We start from the raw sequence: 20,443 nt of genomic DNA on the forward strand, positions 1-20,443 counted from the left end.
CTCCCACCTCAGCCTCCCAACGTGCTGGGATTACAGGCGTGAGCACTGCACCCGGCCCTTTTTTTTTTTTTTGAGATGGAGTCTCACGCTGTTGCCCAGGCTGGAGTGCACTGGTGTGATCTCGGCTCACTGCAACCTCTGCCTCCTGGGTTCAAGTGATTCTCCTGCCTCAGCCTCCTGAGTAGCTAGGATTACAGGCACATGCCACCACGCCTGGCTACTTTTTGCATTTTGAGGCAGGGTTTCACCATGTTGGCCAGGCTGGTCTTGAACTCCTGACCTTAAGGCCCGCCTCAGCCTCCCAAAGTGCTGGGATTACAGGCGTGAGCCACCGCGCCCCGCCTTGCACATTGCATTTCTAGAGACTAGAGGCCTCAAATTAAGGTGTCGGTAAGGCTTGGCCCCCTCTCAAACTTGGGGGAGAGGGGAGATTCCACTCTTGCCCTTTCCAACGTCTCACGTCTCTGGTAATCCTTGGCAATCTTTGGCTTGCTGCTGCAGCACTCCACGGTGTACCTCTATTGTCCTAAGGTGTTCTCTGTGTGTGTGTCCAACTTTGGATTTTTGTTTTTATTAATTTTCTTTTCTTTTTTTCTTTTTTTTTTTTTTGACGAAGTTTCACTCTTGTTGCCCAGGCTGGAGTACAATGGCATGATCTCGGCTCACCACAACCTCCACCTCCCGGGTTCAAGCAATTCTCCTGCCTCAGCCTCCCAAGTAGCTGGGATTACAGGCATGTGCCATCATGCCCAGCTACTTTTTTTGTATTTTTAGCAGAGACAGGGTTTCTCCATGTTGATCAGGCTGTTCTTGAACTCCCGATCTCAGGTGATCCACCTGTCTCGGCCTCCCAAAGTGCTGGGCTTACAGGTGTGAGCCACCGGGCCCGCTGTTTTCATTAATTTTCATTTGAAGACATCCTGATACCTAGTCAAAGCCTCATGACTTTGGGGGCTGAGAGGACAGGGTGGTGGTGGATGTATAGTTGGCGGGGTGTGGTGGTGCACACCTGTAGTCCCAGCTACAGGAGGATTGCTTGAGCCCAGGAGGTCGAGGCTGCAGCAAGCCATGAGTGTGTCACTGTACTCCAGCCTGGGCGACAGAATGAAACCCTGTCTCTTAAAAAAAAAAAAAGAAAAAAAAAGGATGTACAGTAGGAGGATTATCTTTGCCTTCAGTTGCTGGGAGGTGATCTCTAGGCCCCTTAACGTCCTGTCTGATGGAAGTGTCTGTGTTTGCCTGGGGCCTTTGGCCACCAGATAGTCTAACAATGTGATCTGTAATGAAGGCTTTGGAACATCCTGTATCAGTTCCAACCTCCAGATGAGCTGGATACACAAGAGTTAGCTCAGGAGAGACTGGAGATGAAAGGTCAGCCACACTGGCAGTAAGGGATCAAGCCCCACTAAAAAACGCTGGACACTGGCTGGCAGTGGCTCATGCCTGTAATCCCAGCACTTCAGGAGGCTGAGGGGGGCGGGTCACCAGATGTCAGGAGTTTGAGATCAGCCTGGCCAACATGGTGAAACCCTGTCTCTACTAAAAATACAAAATCAGCTGGGCATGGTGCATGCCTGTAATCCCAGCTACTCGTACTCTGGAGGCTGAGGCGGGAGAATCGCTTGAACCCAGGAGGTGGAGGTTGCAGTGAACTGAGATCACGCAACAGCACTCCAGCCTGGGCGACGAGAGCGAGACTCCATCTCAGAAACAACAACAACAAAAACAAAACCCCCAAAAACGCTGGACACCAAAGCCTCAGGAGCTTCTCTGGTTAGCAGTATTCTCTGAGTGTCATCACGCATCATAGCTGGGGGGAGGTGACTGTCTGGAGAGAAGGTAACTAGGAGCTTTGCACTTGAACCCCTTCCGCACCTCACCCTCTATGTCCTTTCTTGTGGCTGGTTCTGATCTGTGTCTGTTTGCTATCATAAAAACTGTCGTTATGAGGCGGGGCACTTTCCTGAGTTCCATGAGTCATTCTAGTGAATTATTGAACCACAGGGGGTAGTGGGAACCCTCAATGCAGCCAAGCGGTCAGAAGTGAGGGTGGCCCAGGAATCCCCAGTTGCACCTGGCATTTGAAGTGAAGGCTGCCTTGTGGAGGGACTGTGTCCTTAGCCTTGAGCTTGACAAATTCATTGCAGTAGGTTCTGTCATCTGCCTCTTAGAGAATACCCTCATTTCAACTGGGCGCGGTGGCTCACGCCTGTAATCCCAGCACTTTGGGAGGCCGAGGCGGGCGGATCACGAGGTCAGGAGATCGAGACCATCCTGGCTAACACGGTGAAACCCCGTCTCTACTAAAAATGCAAAAAATTAGCTGGGCGTGGTGGCGGGCGCCTGTAGTCCCAGCTACTCAGGAGGCTGAGGCAGGAGAATGGCGTGAACCCGGGAGGTGGAGCTTGCAGTGAGCCGAGATCGCGCCACTGCACTCCAGCCTGGGCGATAGAGCGAGACTCCATCTCAGAAAAAAAAAAAAAAAAGAGAATACCCTCATTTCCTTGCAATTTGGGACAGGTGTTAGGAGCCTCATTTTATTCTTCTGAAATCAAATTATCCCTGATTCAGACTTCAGGTAAGGTGGCATTCAAATGCAGTCGTGACTCAGGGCTTACTATTTCTATTCTTCTAAAAAGACTATGGGATTCTCATGTAGGTGGAAATGCTTGAGTGGGCGCCTCTGGCCTTTGGTCTACACGCACTAGCCTGATACACGTCTCCTCCACCAGGCTGTAAACCTCGTGAAGTATCGGTTTTATTCCTGACTAGAACAAGGCTTAGCACCTAGTGGGTGCTCATTAAACACATGAAGCATGAATCAGTGAGGGATTTCACATCTCGTCATCTCTGAAAAGCCTGTTAGCTCACTTCTAGGACCAGGAAACTGGCATTATCAAGAGTGTTATTCCAGCTTTGGTTGGTTCTGAAAATAATAATAATGTATCAGTCCAGTATTAGGTTTAGCTGTATAGAACAGAAAACCCAAAGTGAAATGGCATAAACATGTAAGAGTTGATTCCTTCCAGAAGCAGGCAGTCTAGGACTGGTGTGGGCCTCCCCTGAAGGCTGGCAAGACCACTATTTCTGTGCCAACCTTTGGCGCAGGGGTCTTTATTCAGATTGGCTACTCCATACCCAGGATCCAGCCTCCCCAAGTTTTGCCTAGGTCACCAATCCTCAGGATCCCCCAAATCATATCTCCAGTCTTGGGGCATCTCCAACGTCCCATGAATCATCACCCATCTCTGTAAAAATAAAAAAGTCCCAGGCTGGGTGCGGTGGCTCATGCCTGTAATCCCAGCACTTTGGGAGGCTGGGACAGGTGGATCACCTGAGGTCAGGAGTTGGAGAACAGCTTAGCCAACATGGCAAAACCTTGTCTTTATTAAAAATACAAAAATTAGCCGGGTGTGGTGGCAGGCGCCTGTAATCCTAACTACTCGGGAGGCTGAGGCAGGAGAATAGCTTGAACCTGGGAGGTGGACGTTGCAGTGAGCTGAGATCACGCCACTGCACTCCAGCCAGGGCGACAGAGCGAGACTCCGTCTCAAAAAAATAAAAGTAAAAAAATTTTTAAAAAGTCCTAGAGTACACAGTTCCTGAGTCTGCTGACTGTCTAAAGATGTTCTTCTCTGATTTCTGCTGACTGCAGAGAAGAACAGGGGACTTTGGTCTCGTTCGTTGACTCCTCAGCAGGGAGGAAGGGGGCGTGGTCTCTGGTTCTCCAAGGCATTGGCTGGAACAACAGGAGTTTCCATGCCAGGCTGTAGCTGGTTTTCTCTCAACATATTTAAAATTAAACGTGTTTCAAACCATAAAGTTCAATTTCCTTCTGAAAACATTCTCCTCTATCTTCTGAATAGGAAACTGATATTCCTGTGAGTTACAGCACTTTGATTTAATGTTATGAATCCTGATCTTATTATGCTAAGAGGACACTGCTCCCTCCCTGCTCAGAGTCATATGACAAAGACTTCGCATGTCAGTACCCGCAGTGAAGGGGGCCAGGCCCAACTGGCTCCTGTACATGCGTGCGTGCGTGTGTGTGTGTGTCCCTGGCTACAGAAGGGGCAGAGGGCAATCTTGGGGGCAGAGGGCAATCTTGTTTGACCGGGCCACATTTATTAAGTACTTAGGACTGTGTCTAGCACATAATAAGTGCTCAATAAACGGAGATGCCATGATCATTTGTAGCTAGTTACATACCCAATATCCATTCTTCCTATTTTTTTCCTTAATAACAGATTCAGATCGTGCTGCCTGGAATGAAGACATTTCCCAGTCTCTCTTGCATTTTGGTGTGGCCCCGTGACTACACTATGTTCCATGGACTGTAGTAGGTAAAAGTGTATGAGGCTTCCAGGAGCCTCAGCCTTGAGGTTCACTGCTTTTGTCCTCTATTCTACCTGGTATTTGGATATAATGGCTAGAGTCCAGCAGCCATCTTGGACCATGAGGTAACCCTGAGTACAGAAGCCACCCACTGAAGATGGTAGGGCAGGAAGGTCAAAGCTCTGGTGACACTGTGGAGCCCCCACACTAGTCCTGGACTGCCAGCTTCTGGAAAGAATCAACTCCTACATGTTTATGACATTTCACTTTGCAGTGGCATCCTTGATAATGTCAGGAGTTTCCTGGTCCTGGAAGTGATCAAACAGGCTTTTTAGAGATGATGAGACATGAAATCACTCGCTGATTCATTCTTCATATGTTTAATGAACACTCACTGCTAGGTGCTAGGGCTTGTTCTAGTTATGAACAAAACAGAGACTTTATGAAGCTTACAGCCTGGAAGAGGAGATGCATACACCCTCACAAATGTGAAAAAGCACCCTGAAAGAGCAAATACAGTGCAGGGATGGAGAGTCACAGAAAAGAATCTGTTCAGATGTATCACGAAGGGCTCTGTGCAGAGGTGACGTTTAAGCTGAGAAGTAGGATGTCTTAGTCTGTTCCTGCTGCTATAAAAAAATACCATAGGCCAGGCATGGTGACTCATGCTTGTAATCCCAACACTTTGGGAGGCCGAGGCGGGAGGATTGCTTGAGGCCAGGAGTTCGAGACCAGCCTGGCCAACATGGTGAAACCTCGTCTCTACTAAAAATACAAAAATTAGATGGGTATGGTGGCGGGTGCCTGTAATTCCAGCTACTCAGAAGGCTGAGGAAGGAGAATCGCCTGAACCTGGGAGGCGGAGGTTGTAGTGAGCCGAGATTGCCTGGGCCACAGAGCGAGACTCCACCTTGAAAAAAAAAAACCAAAAAACCAAAAAAACATAAACTGGGTTACTTATAAACAATATTTCTCATAGAGTCTGGGATCTCCAGCAAGGGCACCTTCTTGCGGGGCCCTCACCTGGTGCAAGGGACAAACAAGCTCCCTTGGGCCTCTTTGATAAGGGAACTAATCCTGCCCCCAAAGTCCCCACCTCTTAATACCACCACCTGGGGGGCTAGGATTCCACATATGAACTTTGGGAGGACACAAACATTCAGACCACAGGATAGGGAAGGGATGACAATGAGGTGCTGATGGGAGGAAGAGCTAGGAGAGGGGTTCAGGCAGGAGGAACAGCATGGGCGAAGGTCCCAGGCAGGAAGGGGCTGTGGGTATGGGAGGAGCTGTAGGCGACTTGCTGTGCACTGCAGGTGGACAGTGGAAAAAGGTGATCATGGATTGGACAGGGTGGCCCAGCCCCTTGTAGGCCAAGGTGAAGCAGCTGAATTAAGCTAAATTAATTGATTTTTTTTTTTTTTGAGACAGAGTCTCACTCTGTCACCCAGGCTGTAGTGCAGTGGCGCGATCTCAGCTCACTGCAACCTCTGCCTCCCAGGTTCAAGTGATTCTCCAGCCTCAGCCTCGCAAGTAGCTGGGATTACAGGCATGTGCCACCATGCCCAGCTAATTTTTGTATTTTTTAGTAGAGACGGGGTTTCGCCACGTTGGCCAGGCTGGTCTCGAACTCCTGACCTCAGGTGATCCACCCACCTCGGCCTCCCAAAGTGCTAGGATTACAGGCGTGAGCCACTATGCCTGGCCAATTTTTTTTGAGAGTCTCGCACTGTCAACCAGGCTGGAGTGCAGTGACGCGATCTCTGTCTCCCAGGTTCAAGTAATTCTTCTGCCTCAGCCTCCCCAAGTAGCTGGGATTACAGGCATGTGCCACCACACCCAGCTAATTTTTTTTGTATTTTTAGTAGAGACGGGGTTTCACCGTGTTGGCCAAACTGGTCTCGAACTCCTTACCCCAAATGATCTGCCCGCCTCGACCTCCCAAAGTGCTAGGATTACAGGCATGAGCCACCTCGCCCAGCCTATGTACTTATTTTGAGACAGGGTCTTGCTCTGTTGTCCAGGCTGGAGTGCAGTGGCACTATCACAGCTTGCTGCAGCCTTGACCTTCCTGGGTTCAGGTGATTCTTCCACCTCGGCCTCCTGAATAGCTGGGACCACTGGCATGTGCCAACACTCCCTGCTGATTTTCTTTTCTTCTCTTTTTTTAGAGATGGGGTCTCACTATGTTGCCCAGTTTGGTCTCGACCTCCTGGGCTCAAGCAATTAACCTGCTTCAGCCTCCCAAAGAGTTGGCATTACAGGTGTGAGCCACTGCACTTAGCTTTAAACCAAAATTTTTTATAGAGACAGGGTCTTGCCATGTTGCCCAGGCTGGTCTTGAACTTCTGGGCTCAGGCGATCTGCCCACCTCAGCCTCCCGAAGTGTTGGGATTACAGGCGTGAGCCACCACACTGGCCTGAATTTTACAAGCAGTGGGCAATTACAATGCCAGGTTTCCACTTCAATGAAATCTTCCATGTTTCCGTCTCTGTTCGGCAAGACTCTTTGGTTTGCAAGTGGTAGAAATCCAACTTGAAATAACTTCAGGAAAAAAAAAAAAGGGCACTGATGCAAAGAACCTTGAAGTTTTTAGCTCATAGCATTTACCTTTTTCTGTTCAGATGATCTGAGTTTTGAATAGTTACCCACATCTATTGGGTGGTGGTCTGGCCTCTTCTGCGATCGCTTCTCCTGTCTCCACCCTGCTCTGTGTGTGGGGGTCTCCCATGCCTCTGCCTGGTGGTTGGGTTTGATTAGCGGAGAGCCCAGAACAGGTACTGTTCTCCTGATACTCCGTCCCTTGCATCTCCCTACATCTGCTCCCACTCATAGTCCTTTTATTTTTTTCTTTGAGACGGAGTTTCGCTCTGTCGCCCAGGATGGAATGCAATGGCACGATCTCCGGTTACTGCAATCTCTGCCTCCAGGTTCAAGTGATTCCCCTGCCTCAGACTCCTGAGTGGCTGCGATTATAGGCACCTGCCACCACGCCTGGCTAATTTTTATGTTTTTAGTAGAGACAGGGTTTCACCATGTTGGCCAGGGTGATCTCGAACTCCTGACCTCAAGTGTCTGCCTGCCTTGGCCTCCCAAAATGCTGGGATTACAGGGGTGAGCCACCGTGCCTAGCTTGTCCACCCTCTTCTTGGGTCTCTCGGTTCCCTTCCCCTCCCCAGAAACAACCAGTGCCCCAGGCTCTTGCATTCTATCTGCCCAGAAATACGATCGCATGGTGTTTTATTTTTTCGATTATCAATAACTTGTGAGTGGAGAGGCTGCAAGCCAGTGATGTGAATGAACGTGACTCCACATCAGGTCCCATGGAGATCAGGTTCAGCATGTTTTTCTTCTTGTCCCATTGTATTCCCACAAAAGCCCTGTTTTCAGTGGGTGGAGTCCAGAGCCATGGCTTTCTGGGAGGGATGAGGTGCTGCACTGAGGCCGTGACTAACTGGCACTTGGCCATCGGTGGGATATCTGTCGACGGTAAATGGCTTTAGCAAGACCCAGGCATTGGCACTTCCTGATCCCAGGGGTTCAGACGTGTGTTGGCCAATCTGGGAAAACTCGCAGGGCTAGGAATCCTGGCTGGGGCCACACCTAGGGCAGGCGGGCTGTCCTTGGCCCTTTTGCTATTTTGGGTCCTGCTCAGCTGAATGGGCCACTTTTCCCAAAGAAGCCAATGTATAATTTTCATGAGTCCTAAACACCTGGTGGTTTTGCTCCCGTGAGGCTATTTCCTCCTGGGGCTACAGGATAGGTTTTCTAGGCTCTAATCCCAGCTCTGCCATTTCCTGGTTGGGAGACGTTGGGTTCTTTTTTCTTTTCTTTCTTTTCTTTTTTTTTTTTTTTTTAAGACAGACCTTTCTCTGTTGTGCAGGCTGGAGCGCAATGGCACAATCATAGCTCACTGAGACCTCAAACTCCTGGGCTCAAGCGATCCTCCCACCTCAGCCTCCCGAGTAGTTGGGATCACAGGCATGCACCACCACGCCCAGCTGATTTTTTTTTTTTTAAGAGACAGGGTCTCACTATGCTGCCCAGTTTGGTCTTGAATTCCTGGGCTCAAGAGTTCACCTGCCTCAGCCTCTCAAAGTGTTGGGGTTACAGGCGTGAGCCACTGCACTCAGCTTTAAATTTTTTTTTATAGAGACAGGGTCTTGCTATGTTGCCCAGGCTAGTCTCAAACTCCTGGCCTCAAGCGATCCTCCAGGCTCCACCTCCCAAAGTGCTGAGATTACAGGGGGTGATCCACCACGCCTGGCCTGTGCGTGTTTTTTTTTTAACCTTTCTGTGTCTTAATTTCCGCATCTGTGAAATGGGGATAATAATAGATCCTACCTCATTGGGTTGTTGTGGGAGTTAAAGGAGGAAGTAAATGTTAGCTCAGGGCTCGGCCGTAAGTGCTCAGAAATATTAGCTATTTTTCTTAGGACGAAAACTAACATTTAATCAAATGCCGGCTTGCTACATTCACAGCTGCTTGATGTGTTCTTGTTGAATTCTCACAACGCTGTGAGTTAGGCCCACATATCCCCATTCTACAGATGCGGAAACGGAGGCTCCGAGTGGAGATGGGACTTGTTCAAGGCCATTCAGCTGGTATACCGCAGAACTTCCAACAGTCGGCTGTGCAGGTAGTGACCTCAGCCAGCCCCGCGACCGAAGTACAACGTCCCGGCTCATTTATTTCTCTACTAATTTTGATTTGCATCTTTGTGTTTGAGGTCTCTCTGGGCTTTTGCTTGTTGGAACCAGATTTCTTGTTTTCATTTGTAAACATCTGGAGGGCAAGAGCCATATCTGAGATACCTAAGAAGCTGTGTGAGAGTTTCTGAAACTTGCTTTATCCTGGGAAAGTTGCCTGAAGTGTTTGTTCAAAGACGAGGTTCTCTGGCAGTTTGACTGGGGAGTCTGACTCAGGAACAACAAGGATGGGGCCCTGGAATCTGATTTTTTTTAACCCTGTGACTCTGGGAATTTATTTTTTGCATGACTCGAAATTCTTAGGCTAACGTGTTTGGAAACTTTTGCTGCATAGAATTAGCGTGTCCTTTGTTGTTGAAGAAGAGGATGGCAGCAAAGCAGACAGAGGCGCTCCCAGTATCCAGCCTTTTCCTTCTACAGGTGTTTTTCTTGCCTCAAGTCTTTGTGCTACCCTTGAGGGTCACTGTGTGCCCAGCCCAGAGCTGGGCGGGGGTGAGGGGAGTAATAGGAAGGTCAACGTTGTCCCTGCACTCCCGGAGTTTACAATCTAATTGGATTAACAAGACACATTCAGCAAGTCATGAAAAATGCATTCAGAAATGGTGGATTGGGGTCCGTTGGGCAAGCGTTTCTGGGGCATGCGCAATGTGTGGAGTTCCAGGCATGGAGGTCGTAGAGATTATGAAACCCTGGATGCCCAGTAATAGACGGACCTTGGTTTTTGCCATCTGTGGCCCACAGCCAGGCCGGGATCCTGAGACAAACACCTCAGGCGGGGAACAGAACTGTCGAGAGCTTTTTTTGGCTTTTTATTTTGTGAGATGGAGTCTTGCTCTATTGCCCAGGCTGGAGGGCAGTGGTGCGATCTTGGCTCACTGAAACCTCCACCTCCCAGGTTCAAGCAATTCTTCTGCCTCAGCCTCCCGAGTAATTGGGATTACAGGCATGTGCCACCACACTTGGCTAATTTTTTTTTTTTTTTTTTTGAGACAGAGTCTCACTCTGTCGCCCAGGCTGGAGTGCAGTGGTGCAATCTCAGCTCACTGCAACCTCTACCTCCTGGGTTCAAGCGATTCCGCTGACTCAGCTTCTCTAGTAGCTGGGACTACAGGCACGTGACACCGTGCCCAGCTAATTTTTGTATTTTTAGTAGAGACAGGGTTTCTCCATGTTTACCAGGATGGTCTTGATCTCTTGACCTCGTGATTCACTCGCCTCGGCCTCCCAAAGTGCTGGGATTACAGGTATGAGCCACCGTGCCTGGCCCATTTTTGTATTTTTAATAGAAGCGGGGTTTCACTATGTTGGCCAGGCTGGTCTTGAACTCCTGGTCTCAAGTGATCCGCCTGCCTCAGCCTCCCAAAGCACTGGGATTACAGGCATGAGCCACTGTGCTCGGCCTCCTGTTTTTTTTTGTTTTTGTTTTTTGAAGGCAGTATCACCCAAATAAAAATAACTTTATATTTTTTTCCAGATATAACTAATAAATGTTCATGTTACAAGGTTCAGGGCTCATCCTAACACTTTAGAAGGCCTAGGTGGTAGGATGACCTGAGTCCAGGAGCTTGAGACCAGCCTGGGCAACGTGGTGAGACCCCATCTCTAAAATTAGAAAAATTGGAAAACAAAAAAAAAGAAAGAAAGAAAAAAAAATCTTCGAGTGTAGACTCAGAAATCTGTGTTTCTAACCCCTGCTCCAGGGCATTCTGATGCCGTAGCTCTGCTCCAGTGAGTAGGGAAGGCCAGCCAGTGAAGGCTCACATTGCTGTGGGTGGCAGAAGAGGACAGCAGGAGATTCTGACCAGGTAGATCTTGAAGACAGCAGCAGCTTGACAAATGGAGGTTTCCAGGTAGAGGGAGCAGCTTGCACAAAGGCACAGAGGTGAGAAAGTTAGGGGTATGTTCTGGAGATGGCAAATAGAGTGGGTGAGGTCTGGGTATGGAGGGGCTGTGCAAGATGAGGCTGGAAAGATTCAAATCGAGGAGGGCTTTGAGTGCTAGGCTAAAGCATCAAAATGTACTCTTGCCTCTGGCATTTATTTGCAAAATAGTGGTACACGAGGTAATTGTAGGTGATATGGTACATGTAGGGAGAACATTCTCTTTTCAGTCCCTTCTAAAGTGCTTACATTGAGGAGAAAGTTTCAATTAGTTGCTAGTCTATCTTTAACACCCCTCTGAACACTGCCTAATTTCCTTTCAACATAGAGAAACCCTCCTTAGGCTTAGGGCCTTAGTGTGAAACAAGAACAAGTGTGAATGCCTCATTTCCATGTCTGAATGACTGCTTGCTATTTATGGCAAGGGATACTCTTTTTCTTTTTCTTTTTTTGAGACAGAGTCTCACTCCGTCACCCAGGCTGAAGTGCAGTGGCACGATCTCGGCTCGCAGCAACCTCCGCCTCCTGGATTCAGGTGATTTTTGTTCCTCAGCCACCCGAGTAGTTGGGATTACAGGCACGTGCCACTATGCCTGGCTAATTTTTGTATTTTTAGTAGAGACGGGGTCTCACCATGTTGGCCCTAGCCTCAAGTGGTCTTGAACCCCTAGCCTCAAGTGATCCTCCTGCCTGGCCTCCCAAATTGCTGGGATTACAGGTGTGAGCCACTGTGCCTGGCCGGGATACTGTTTTTTTGAGTATTAAAATTATATAAAGCTTTTCTTTTCTTTTTCTTTTTTTTTTTTTTTTTTGAGACGGAGTTTCGTTCTTGTTCCCCAGGCTGGAGTACAATGGGGCGATCTCGACTCACTGCAACCCCCGCCTCCTGGGTTCAAGCAATTCTCCTGCCACAGCCTCCCGAGTAGCTAGGATTACAGGCATGCGCCACCACGCCCAGCTAATTTTGTATTTTTAGTAGAGACGGAGTTTCTCCATGTTGGTCAGGCTGGTCTCGAACTCCCGACCTCAGGTGATCTGCCCACCTCGGCCTCCCAAAGTGCTGGGATTACAGGCATGAGCCACCGCTCCCGGCCAAAACTTTTCTTTTTAAAATAAGTTTAGTTTTAAAAAAGTGAGTTGACAGGAGCAAAACTGCTAAGTAAATAATGCAAAAGGCAGTGGTGCTCAAATATGGGAAAATAATATGCAGGTGATACCAGAGTCTTGCCTTTGGGAAATGCAGACCCAGGTCCTTTTGTCTTTAGAGCTCACCGGCAATGCGAGGTGTTTCAGGTAGAAGGAACAGCATCAATGGGGTGTTGGCTAGTGTTTAACAGCTGGCTCTCTGAAAAAGCAAAATAAAACACACACACACCAAATCTGATGGTCTGTTTCCATGATGTGAGTACCTCCAGCTGGGCCGAACTGACATCACTGAACACAGTGGAAAGTGATGACTGCAGTTGTCTCTCCTGGGAGCTTCAACACAGTACAGGCTGACAAAAGTGGGCAGGGGGTAAGGGCAGGTGGTGGGAGTGGCCTCTACGCCAGAGAAGGGAATGGAGAGGTCAGGCTGGCTAGAGAGTGGGGTTGAGTCGTCCATGCCCTTGAATGCCAGGATGAGGGCTAAAGAGTCAAATGGAATGGGTGACTTCATATGCAGAAGTTTTTACAAGAGAAGAGAACTCAGTTTGGCCAAGAGAAGTGGGGTCGTCATGTTGGTAATCACGTAACAGTGATCGTTCAGTCATGCGGAATGCTTTCAAGGTGTTGGACACTGTTCATTTTTTATTTTTAGTTTTTGAGGCAGGGTCTCACTCTGTCGCCCAGGCTGGAGTGCAGTGGTGCAATCTTGGCTCACTGCAACCTCTGTCTCCTGGGTTCAAGCGATTCTTCTGCCTCAGCCTCCCTAGTAGCTCGGATTACAGTTGTTTGCCACCACGCCCGGCTAATTTTTGTATTTTTAGTAGAAATGAGGTTTCGCCATGTTGGCCAGACTGGTCTCGAACTCCTGACCTCAAATGATCCACCTGCCTCGGCCTCCCAAAGTGCTGGGATTGCAGGTGTGATCCACCACACCTGGCCGCTTGCAGGGTGTTGGACACTGTGGATATCACCTCATTCATTCTCCTAACAACCCAAGAGAAGAGGAACTGAGGCAAAGAGAAGTTAAGCAAGTTGCCCAAGGCCATACGGCTAGTAAACGGCAGAACGAGGCTCAAACCCAGGCACTCTGGCTCTAGAGTGTGTGTTCCTAACCACTGTGCTCTAGCACCTCGGAACCTTAGTCTCTTCATCTGCAAAATCAGCACTGAGGTGACAAGGCCAACGAGCAGAGGGTTGGAGTTACCCAGAACAACAACAACAACAAAAGTAATAGTAACACATATTTGGTCAAGGCTTAGATTCTGGCGTCATGGGGATCTGGGTTCAAATCCTAATTCTGCCTTAGCCGATTAGGGTCCCTATCCTCTTAAAGCCTTGGTTTCCTTATCTGTAAAATGGGGATATCATGAAGCTGTTAGATGTTAAATGAGAAAATGAATGAGAAAATTGCATGTACTGTCCATAAAGTTGAAAAGATAATAGGGGTGGGAAGGAGAACAGTCCGAGTTTGAATGCAGGTGGGCCCTGGGGCATTGTCTGGACTGAAGGACAAGGGTCAGTTGAATTGCCAAAGAGCTCTGAGACTGGCTGAAGGGACACTCGTCTTGTGCTAGCTGCTAAGACCAAGGGGAAGCCTGTGCCTCGCCCGAATTTTAGTCTTGCAAACAGCTGCTCACCCAGTAGGAGAGAATTGTGATAAAACTCATAGCCACCATTTCTTGAATATCTACTATGCCCCGGGACACAGCAGACTATTTTAGAGAATTTGCGAAGGAAACACAGTGACATCTGTTGGACACCTTGCAAACTACCAGCTCAGGATAGTTAAATTTGAATGTTAGATGGAGGGAACTTCCTTTCCACAATGACATGATTTTGTAAAGCTGAGTGTATGGCAGTTGTCATGATTAAAAGCAAGTGCCATGCAGAAGTTATTGTGTAACAGGAAATGAGATTAGATAGCGTCCAATCTAATCTCAAGGTTTGAGTAGCTGTGGACAGCCCAACAGGCACAGGCCTCCCGTTAGTACATCCATACGAGAAGTTAAGAATGAGTGAAAATAGTTTTTTTTTTTTTAATTTATGTGCATTATTTTTTTCAAGCAGCTACCTTGTTAGGACATACTTAATAGTTATCTTGGCCTACCTACTGCACTTACTAAACAACTGTTCACTTTTTAATTTTTAATTTTCAGATTTTTTTGAGACGGATTGTTACTCTATCGCCCAGGCTGGAGTGCAGTGGCGTGATCTCTGCTCACTGCAACCTCCGCCTCCCGGGTTCAAGCTATTCTCCTGCCTCAGCCTCCTGAGTATCTGGGACTACAGGTGTGCGCCACCACATCCAGCTAATTTTTGTATTTTTAGTAGAGATGGGGTTTTACCATGTTGGCCAGGCTGATCTGGAACTCCTGACCTCAGGTGATCCACCTGCCTCGGTCTCCCAAAGCGCTGGGATTACAGGTATGAGCTACCATGTCCGGCTGTTCCTTTTTTTTTTTTTCTTTTTCTTTTTTTTTTGAGACGGAGTTTCTCTCTGTCACCCAGGCTGGAGTGCAGTGTCATGATCTCAGCTCACTGCAACCTCTGCCTTCTGGGTTCAAGTGATTCTCCTGCCTCAGCCTTCCGACTAGCTGGGATTATAGGTGCCCACTGACAAGCCTGGCTAATTTTTGTATTTTTAGTAGAGACGGGTTTTCACCATGTTGGCCAGGCTGGTCTCGAACTCCTGACCTCAAGTGATCCACCCACTTCGGTCTCCCAAAGTGCTGGGATGACAGGCATGAGCCACTGCGCCCAGCCACTGTTCGCTTTTTTTCTCAGTGGTTCTCTAGTCCATTGCCTTAACCACTCACCATGACTACAGCTCTTATTTGCAGTGACTCTCAAGAATGCAAATGCAAATGCCATTCCTGACCTCGAGTTAATTCAGCTTTGTCCCCTGAGCATGGGGGAAAGGCAGGCTGGGGGCTGGAACTTTCTGCTTGTGTACCTATCTCTTTAGACTCTGGAGGCTCCTCCCCAATCTCTGTCATTCCCTCTCCAACCAAATCCACCTGCCGTCCCAGACTCAAATGCTCAGCCACCTAACTGCCTGAGGACCCAGCAGTTAATGAGTTTACATGCTGGGGGCAGGAGTCAGGGCCAACACTCCTTGGTTCCTCTGGCTCCCTGGAAAGGGAAAGTCACCAAGAGGCAGCTGCAGGCAGCAAAGAGAATAAGCAGGAGAACCTCAAAGCCACAAAGGGACAGCACACAGCATCTTCCCTGTTTAGCCTGGACTTGAGAATGCTGTCCCCAGCAGTAAGCTGCTCAACCTCAAAGCAACTTGCACGGGGGTTTACAAAAAAATGCACTTGGCCGGGCACGGTGGCTCACGCCTATAATCCCAACAGTTTGGGAGGCCGAGGTGGGTGGATCTTTTGAGGCCAGGAGTTTGAGACCAGCCTGGCAAACATGGTGAAACCCTGTCTCTACCAAAAATACAAAAATTAGCCAGGCATGGTGGTGTGTGCCTGTAGTCCCAGCTACTCAGGAGGCTAAGGTAGGAGGATTGCTCGAACCCAGGAGGCAGAGGTTACAGTGAGCTGAGATCGCACCACTGTACTCCAGCCTGGGTGACAAAGTGAGGCTCTGTCTCAAAAATAAAAATAAAACATAAATGCACTGGAGGAAAGAGGGTACCACTCTCCTTAAGGCGGGGGCTGCCAACTTGTCCTGCACAGCCCGTCCGCCTGCCTCAGGTGGACTTAAAGCCCAGCTCTGAGGGACTCTGAGCAGTCATTTAACCTCTCTGAGCCTCTCTTTCCTCCCCTGCAGAAGGGGGATTATAACAGTTCCTAATTCATGAGTTGTTCTTGGAGTGAAATACATTACTGGCCAGGTGAGATGGCTCATGCCTGTAATCCCAACACTTTGGGAGGCTGAGGTGAGAGGATTGCTTGAGCCCAGGAGTTCGAGACCAGCCTGGGCAACAAAGCAAGACCCCCATCTCTAAGAAAAGTAAATAAATAGGCAGGGTGCAGTGGCTCACCCCTGTAATCCCAGCACCTTGGGAGGACGAGGTGGGCAGATGGCTTGGGCTCAGGAGTTTGAGACCAGCCTGGGCAATGTGGCAAACTCTTGTCTCTACTAAAAAATACAAAAATTAGCGAGGCATGGTGGCACACGCTTGTAGTCCCAGCTATTGGAGAGGCTGAGGTGGGAGGATCACGGGAGCCCCAGAAGCATAGGTTGCAGTTTGCCAAGATTGTGCCACTGCACTCCAGCTCGGGCGACAGAAGGAGACCCTGTCTCAAAAAACAAACAAAAAAGATAAATATATAAATGAAGCTGGGCATGATGGTGCGTACCTGTAGTTCCAGCTACTTGGGATGCTGAGGTGGGAGGATTGCTTGAAGCCAGGAGTTCTAGGCTGAAGTGAGCTATGATCATGCCAGCCTGGGTGACAGAGTAAGAATCTGGCTCTTAAAAAAATAAAAAGTAAAATGGAACAGGTGAAGTTATTTTCTTTAATTTTTAAAATAAAAAGTTATTTTTATAAATAAAATTTTAATTTAAACCAAATTATTTTAAACTAAATATAACATTATATTTGTATAATATATAAATAATATTTTAATTAAATCTAATTTAAAATTATTCTAAATGTTAACTTTTTTTTTTTTTTTTTTTTTTTGAGAGGGAGTCTCGCTCTGTCGCCCAGGCTGGAGTACAGTGGCGCGATCTCGGCTCACTGCAAGCTCCGCATCCTGGGTTCACGCCATTCTCCTGCCTCAGCCTCCTAAGTAGCTGGGACTACAGGCGCCCGCCACCACGCCAGGCTAATTTCTTGTATTTTTAGTAGAGACGGGGTTTCACCATGTTAGGCAGGATGGTCTCAATCTCCTGACCTTGTGATCCGCCCACCTCGGCCTCCCAAAGTGCTGAGATTACAGGCGTGAGCCACCGCGCCCGGCCTAAATGTTAACTTTTAAATTGTCTTTTTTTTTTTTTTTTTTTTTTTTGAGACAGTGTCTTGCTGTATCACCCAGGCCAGAGTGCAGTGGCATGATCTTGGTTCACTGCCACCTCCGCCTCCCAGGTTCAAGTGATTTTCCTGCCTCAGCCTCCTGAGGTTAATTTTTGTATTTTTATTACAGATGGGGTTTCACCATATTGGTCAGGGTGGTCTCGAACTCCTGACCTCAGGTGATCTACCCACCTTGGCCTCCCAAAAGTGCTGGGATTACAGGCGTTAGCCACCACGCCCGGCCAAAATTTTCTTAATTTAAAAATTTAACTCAATATATTTTTTAAAAATTATCATTTCAAGAAGTGACATTAGCCATCTTTCAAGTGCTTGGTAGCCACATGTGGCTGGTGGGTGAGGGCAGGGCCTGTTTTTTTTTTTTTTTTTTTTTTTGAGACAGAGTTTTGCTCTTGTTGCCCAAACTGGAGTGCAATGGCGTGATCTCGGCTCACTGCAACCTCCGCCTCCTGGGTTCAAGTGATTCTCCTGTCTCAGCCTCCTGCGTGCATCACCATGCCCAGCTTTTTAAATTTTTAGTAGAAATGGGGTTTCATCATGTTAGCCAGGCTGGTCTCAAATTCCTGACCTCAGGTGATCCACCCACCTCGGCCTCCCAAAGTACTGGGATTACAGGCATGAGCCACTGTGCCTGGCCACAGGGCCTGTATTTAGATGTTTGCTATTTTGTTCAGCACAGATTATTTTACATTAGTTAAAAAATATTTTTTGAGGCCGGGCATGGTGGCTCACACCTGTAATCCCAGCACTTTGTGGGGCTGAGATGGGAGGATCTCTTGAGTCCAGGAGTTTGAGACCAGCCTGGGCAACATGGTGAAACTCCGTCTCTACCAAAAATACAAAAAAAAAAAAAAAAAAAATTAGCTGGGTGCAGTGGTGCACACCTGTAGTCCCAGCTACTCGGGAGGCTGAGGTAGAAGGATGATTTGAGCCCAGGAGGCGGAGGTTGCAGTGAGCCCAGATCATGCCATTGCACTCTAGCTTGGGCAACAGAGCCAAACCCTGTCTCAAAAAATAAAAATAAATAAAAATGAAAAAAAAAATCAGAATTGCACACATGAAATGGGTGAATTGTATGGTAAGTATATCTCAATAAAGCTACAACAATATTTTTATTGATTTACATACCATCAAACTCGCCCTTTTAAAATGTGCAATTCATTGGGTTTTAATAAAGTCACAGAGTTGTCCGATATCACCACAATCAATTGTAGAACATTTTTATCATCCTAAAGAAACCCAGCACCATGGAGTGGCCACTCCCCATTCCCTTCTCCCACCCAGGCCCTGACAACCACAAATCCACTTCCTGTCTCTATGGATTTGCCTGTTCTGGACATTTCAGATAAATGGACTCACACACTATGTAGTCTTTAGTGACCACTTTTTCACTTAGCATCATGTTTTCAAGGCTCATGCATGTTGTGGCATGTACTGGAACTCCATTCCTTTATATGACCAAATAATATACCATTGCATTGGCTGGATGCGGTGGCTCATGCCTGTAATCCCAGCACTTTGGGGGGCCAAGGCGAGGGCATCACCTAAGGTCAGGAGTTCGAGACTAGTCTGGCCAACATGGTAAAACCCCATCTCTACCAAAAATACAAAAATTAGCTGGGCGTGGTGGTACATACCTGTAGTTCCAGATACTCGGGAGGCTCAGGCAGGAGAATTGCTTGAACCCGGGAGGCGGAGGTTGCAGTGAGCCAAGATTGCACCACTGCACTCCAGCCTGGGCAACAGAGCGAGACCCCCATCTCAAAAAAAAAAAAAAAGAAAGAAAAAAATATATATGTCTATACCATTGCATGGTCAAGCCATATTTTGTTTATATATTCATCAGGTGATGAATATTTATGTTTTTTCCACTTTTTGGCTCTTGTGAATAATGCTGCTATGAGCATTCACGCACAAGTTTTTGTATAGACATCTGTTTTTAATTCTTTGGGGTTTTGCATTCATTTTAATTTTAAAAACATATTGCATAAAAATGTTATTTACCTTGATGACTGGGTTTTTTGGCATTCCCTTAAAATTTGCACCTGGGCTGCCAGGCATGGTGGCGCACGCCTGTAATCCTAACACTTTGGGAGGCTGAGGTGGGCGGATGGCTTGAGTCCAGGAGTTTGAGACCAACCTGGGCAGCATGGCAAGACCCTGTCTCCACAAAAAATACACACACAAGGCCGGGCACAGTGGCTCACACCTGTAATCCCAGCACTTTGGGAGGCCGAGGCGGACGAATCACTTGAGGTCAAGAGTTCAAGACCAGCCTGGCCAACATGGTGAAACCCCAACTCAATAAAGAATACAAAAAAATTAGCCGGGTGTAGTGGTATGTGCCTGTAATCCCAGCTACTCCGGAGGCTGAGGCAGGGGAATCGCTTGAACCTGGGAGGCGGAGGTTGCAGTGAGCCAAGATTGCTCCACTGCACTCCAAGCCTGGGTGACAGAGTGAGACTCTGTCTCAAAAACACACACACACACAACCCAAACACACACAACACACACACACAAAATCAGCTGGGTGTCGTGGTGCGTGCCTGTAGTGCCAGCTACTTGGGTACTTGGGTGGCTGAGGCGGGAGGATCACCTGAACCCAGGAAGTCAAGGCTGCAGTAAGCCATGATCGCGCCACAGCACTCCAGCCTGGGTGACAAAGTGAGAACATAGCTCAAAAAATAAAAAAATAAATTTGCACCTGAGGCAAGTGTCACACTCATCCCAACTCAGTCTCACCTTGCATGTTTTCTGCCTTGCTGGCTGTATGACCCTGGACAAGTTACTTAACCGCTCAGAGCCTCGATTTCCTCCTCTATAAAATGGGGATAATCTCTGTAACTGCTCACAGTTGGTAGCAGAATGCAATGAAGTGAATTCGCCCTCACAGAGCCAGCACTGTTCTTGGCACATGGTAATCTTAACATATTTTTTCCTACAGGGAGGCCTGGTGTCAGGCCGGGAGTGGGGTGGAAGGGTCCCAAAATGGATGGAAGGGCCCCAAAATGGCCGTGAGCATCCTCTGCCCTTGAGAAGAGCTAGCCCAGCTGTCTAGAGCTCCCTGCTGCTGCCGCTCTCGTAAGCAGCAAGCATTTTTGGCTCTCCTGTCTCAGCATGATGCCCCTACAAGGTTCTTTCGGGGGTGGGACCCAACGCTGCTCTCCTGATGGCCTCCCTGGCTCCCAGCACCTTCCATCCCAGCTGCTCAGGGCCCCTCACCTGCGCCTCCCCCACCCTCCCCTCTGCCCACTCCCATCGCAGGCCATAGCTCCCTGTCCCTCTCCGCTGCCATGAGGCCTGCACTTTGCAGGGCTGAAGTCCAAAGTTCAGTCCCTTCGCTAAGCACACGGATAAATATGAACCTTGGAGAATTTCCCC

The 20,443-nt window shown here is 48.2% G+C and overlaps 1 long non-coding RNA gene across 1 annotated transcript, besides 1 other annotated feature; it reads right to left on the reverse strand.

Moving 5' to 3' along the window:
- Positions 1-11,738: 11,738 nt before the first annotated feature.
- On the reverse strand, positions 11,739-14,193 carry HNF1A-AS1 (HNF1A antisense RNA 1). Its single transcript, NR_024345.1, has one exon. It is a non-coding gene; the product is annotated as an HNF1A antisense RNA 1 (long non-coding RNA).
- Positions 14,786-15,313: an enhancer, noted in NCBI's record as "NANOG-H3K27ac hESC enhancer chr12:121410688-121411215 (GRCh37/hg19 assembly coordinates)". NCBI's record gives its function as "activates a minimal SCP1, AML or CMV promoter by ChIP-STARR-seq in primed H9 embryonic stem cells {active_cell/tissue: H9 hESC(primed)}" and the evidence as "EXISTENCE:reporter gene assay evidence [ECO:0000049][PMID:30033119]".

This window comes from Homo sapiens, chromosome 12 (assembly GCF_000001405.40).
Source record: "Homo sapiens chromosome 12, GRCh38.p14 Primary Assembly".
Lineage (NCBI taxonomy): Eukaryota > Metazoa > Chordata > Mammalia > Primates > Hominidae > Homo > Homo sapiens.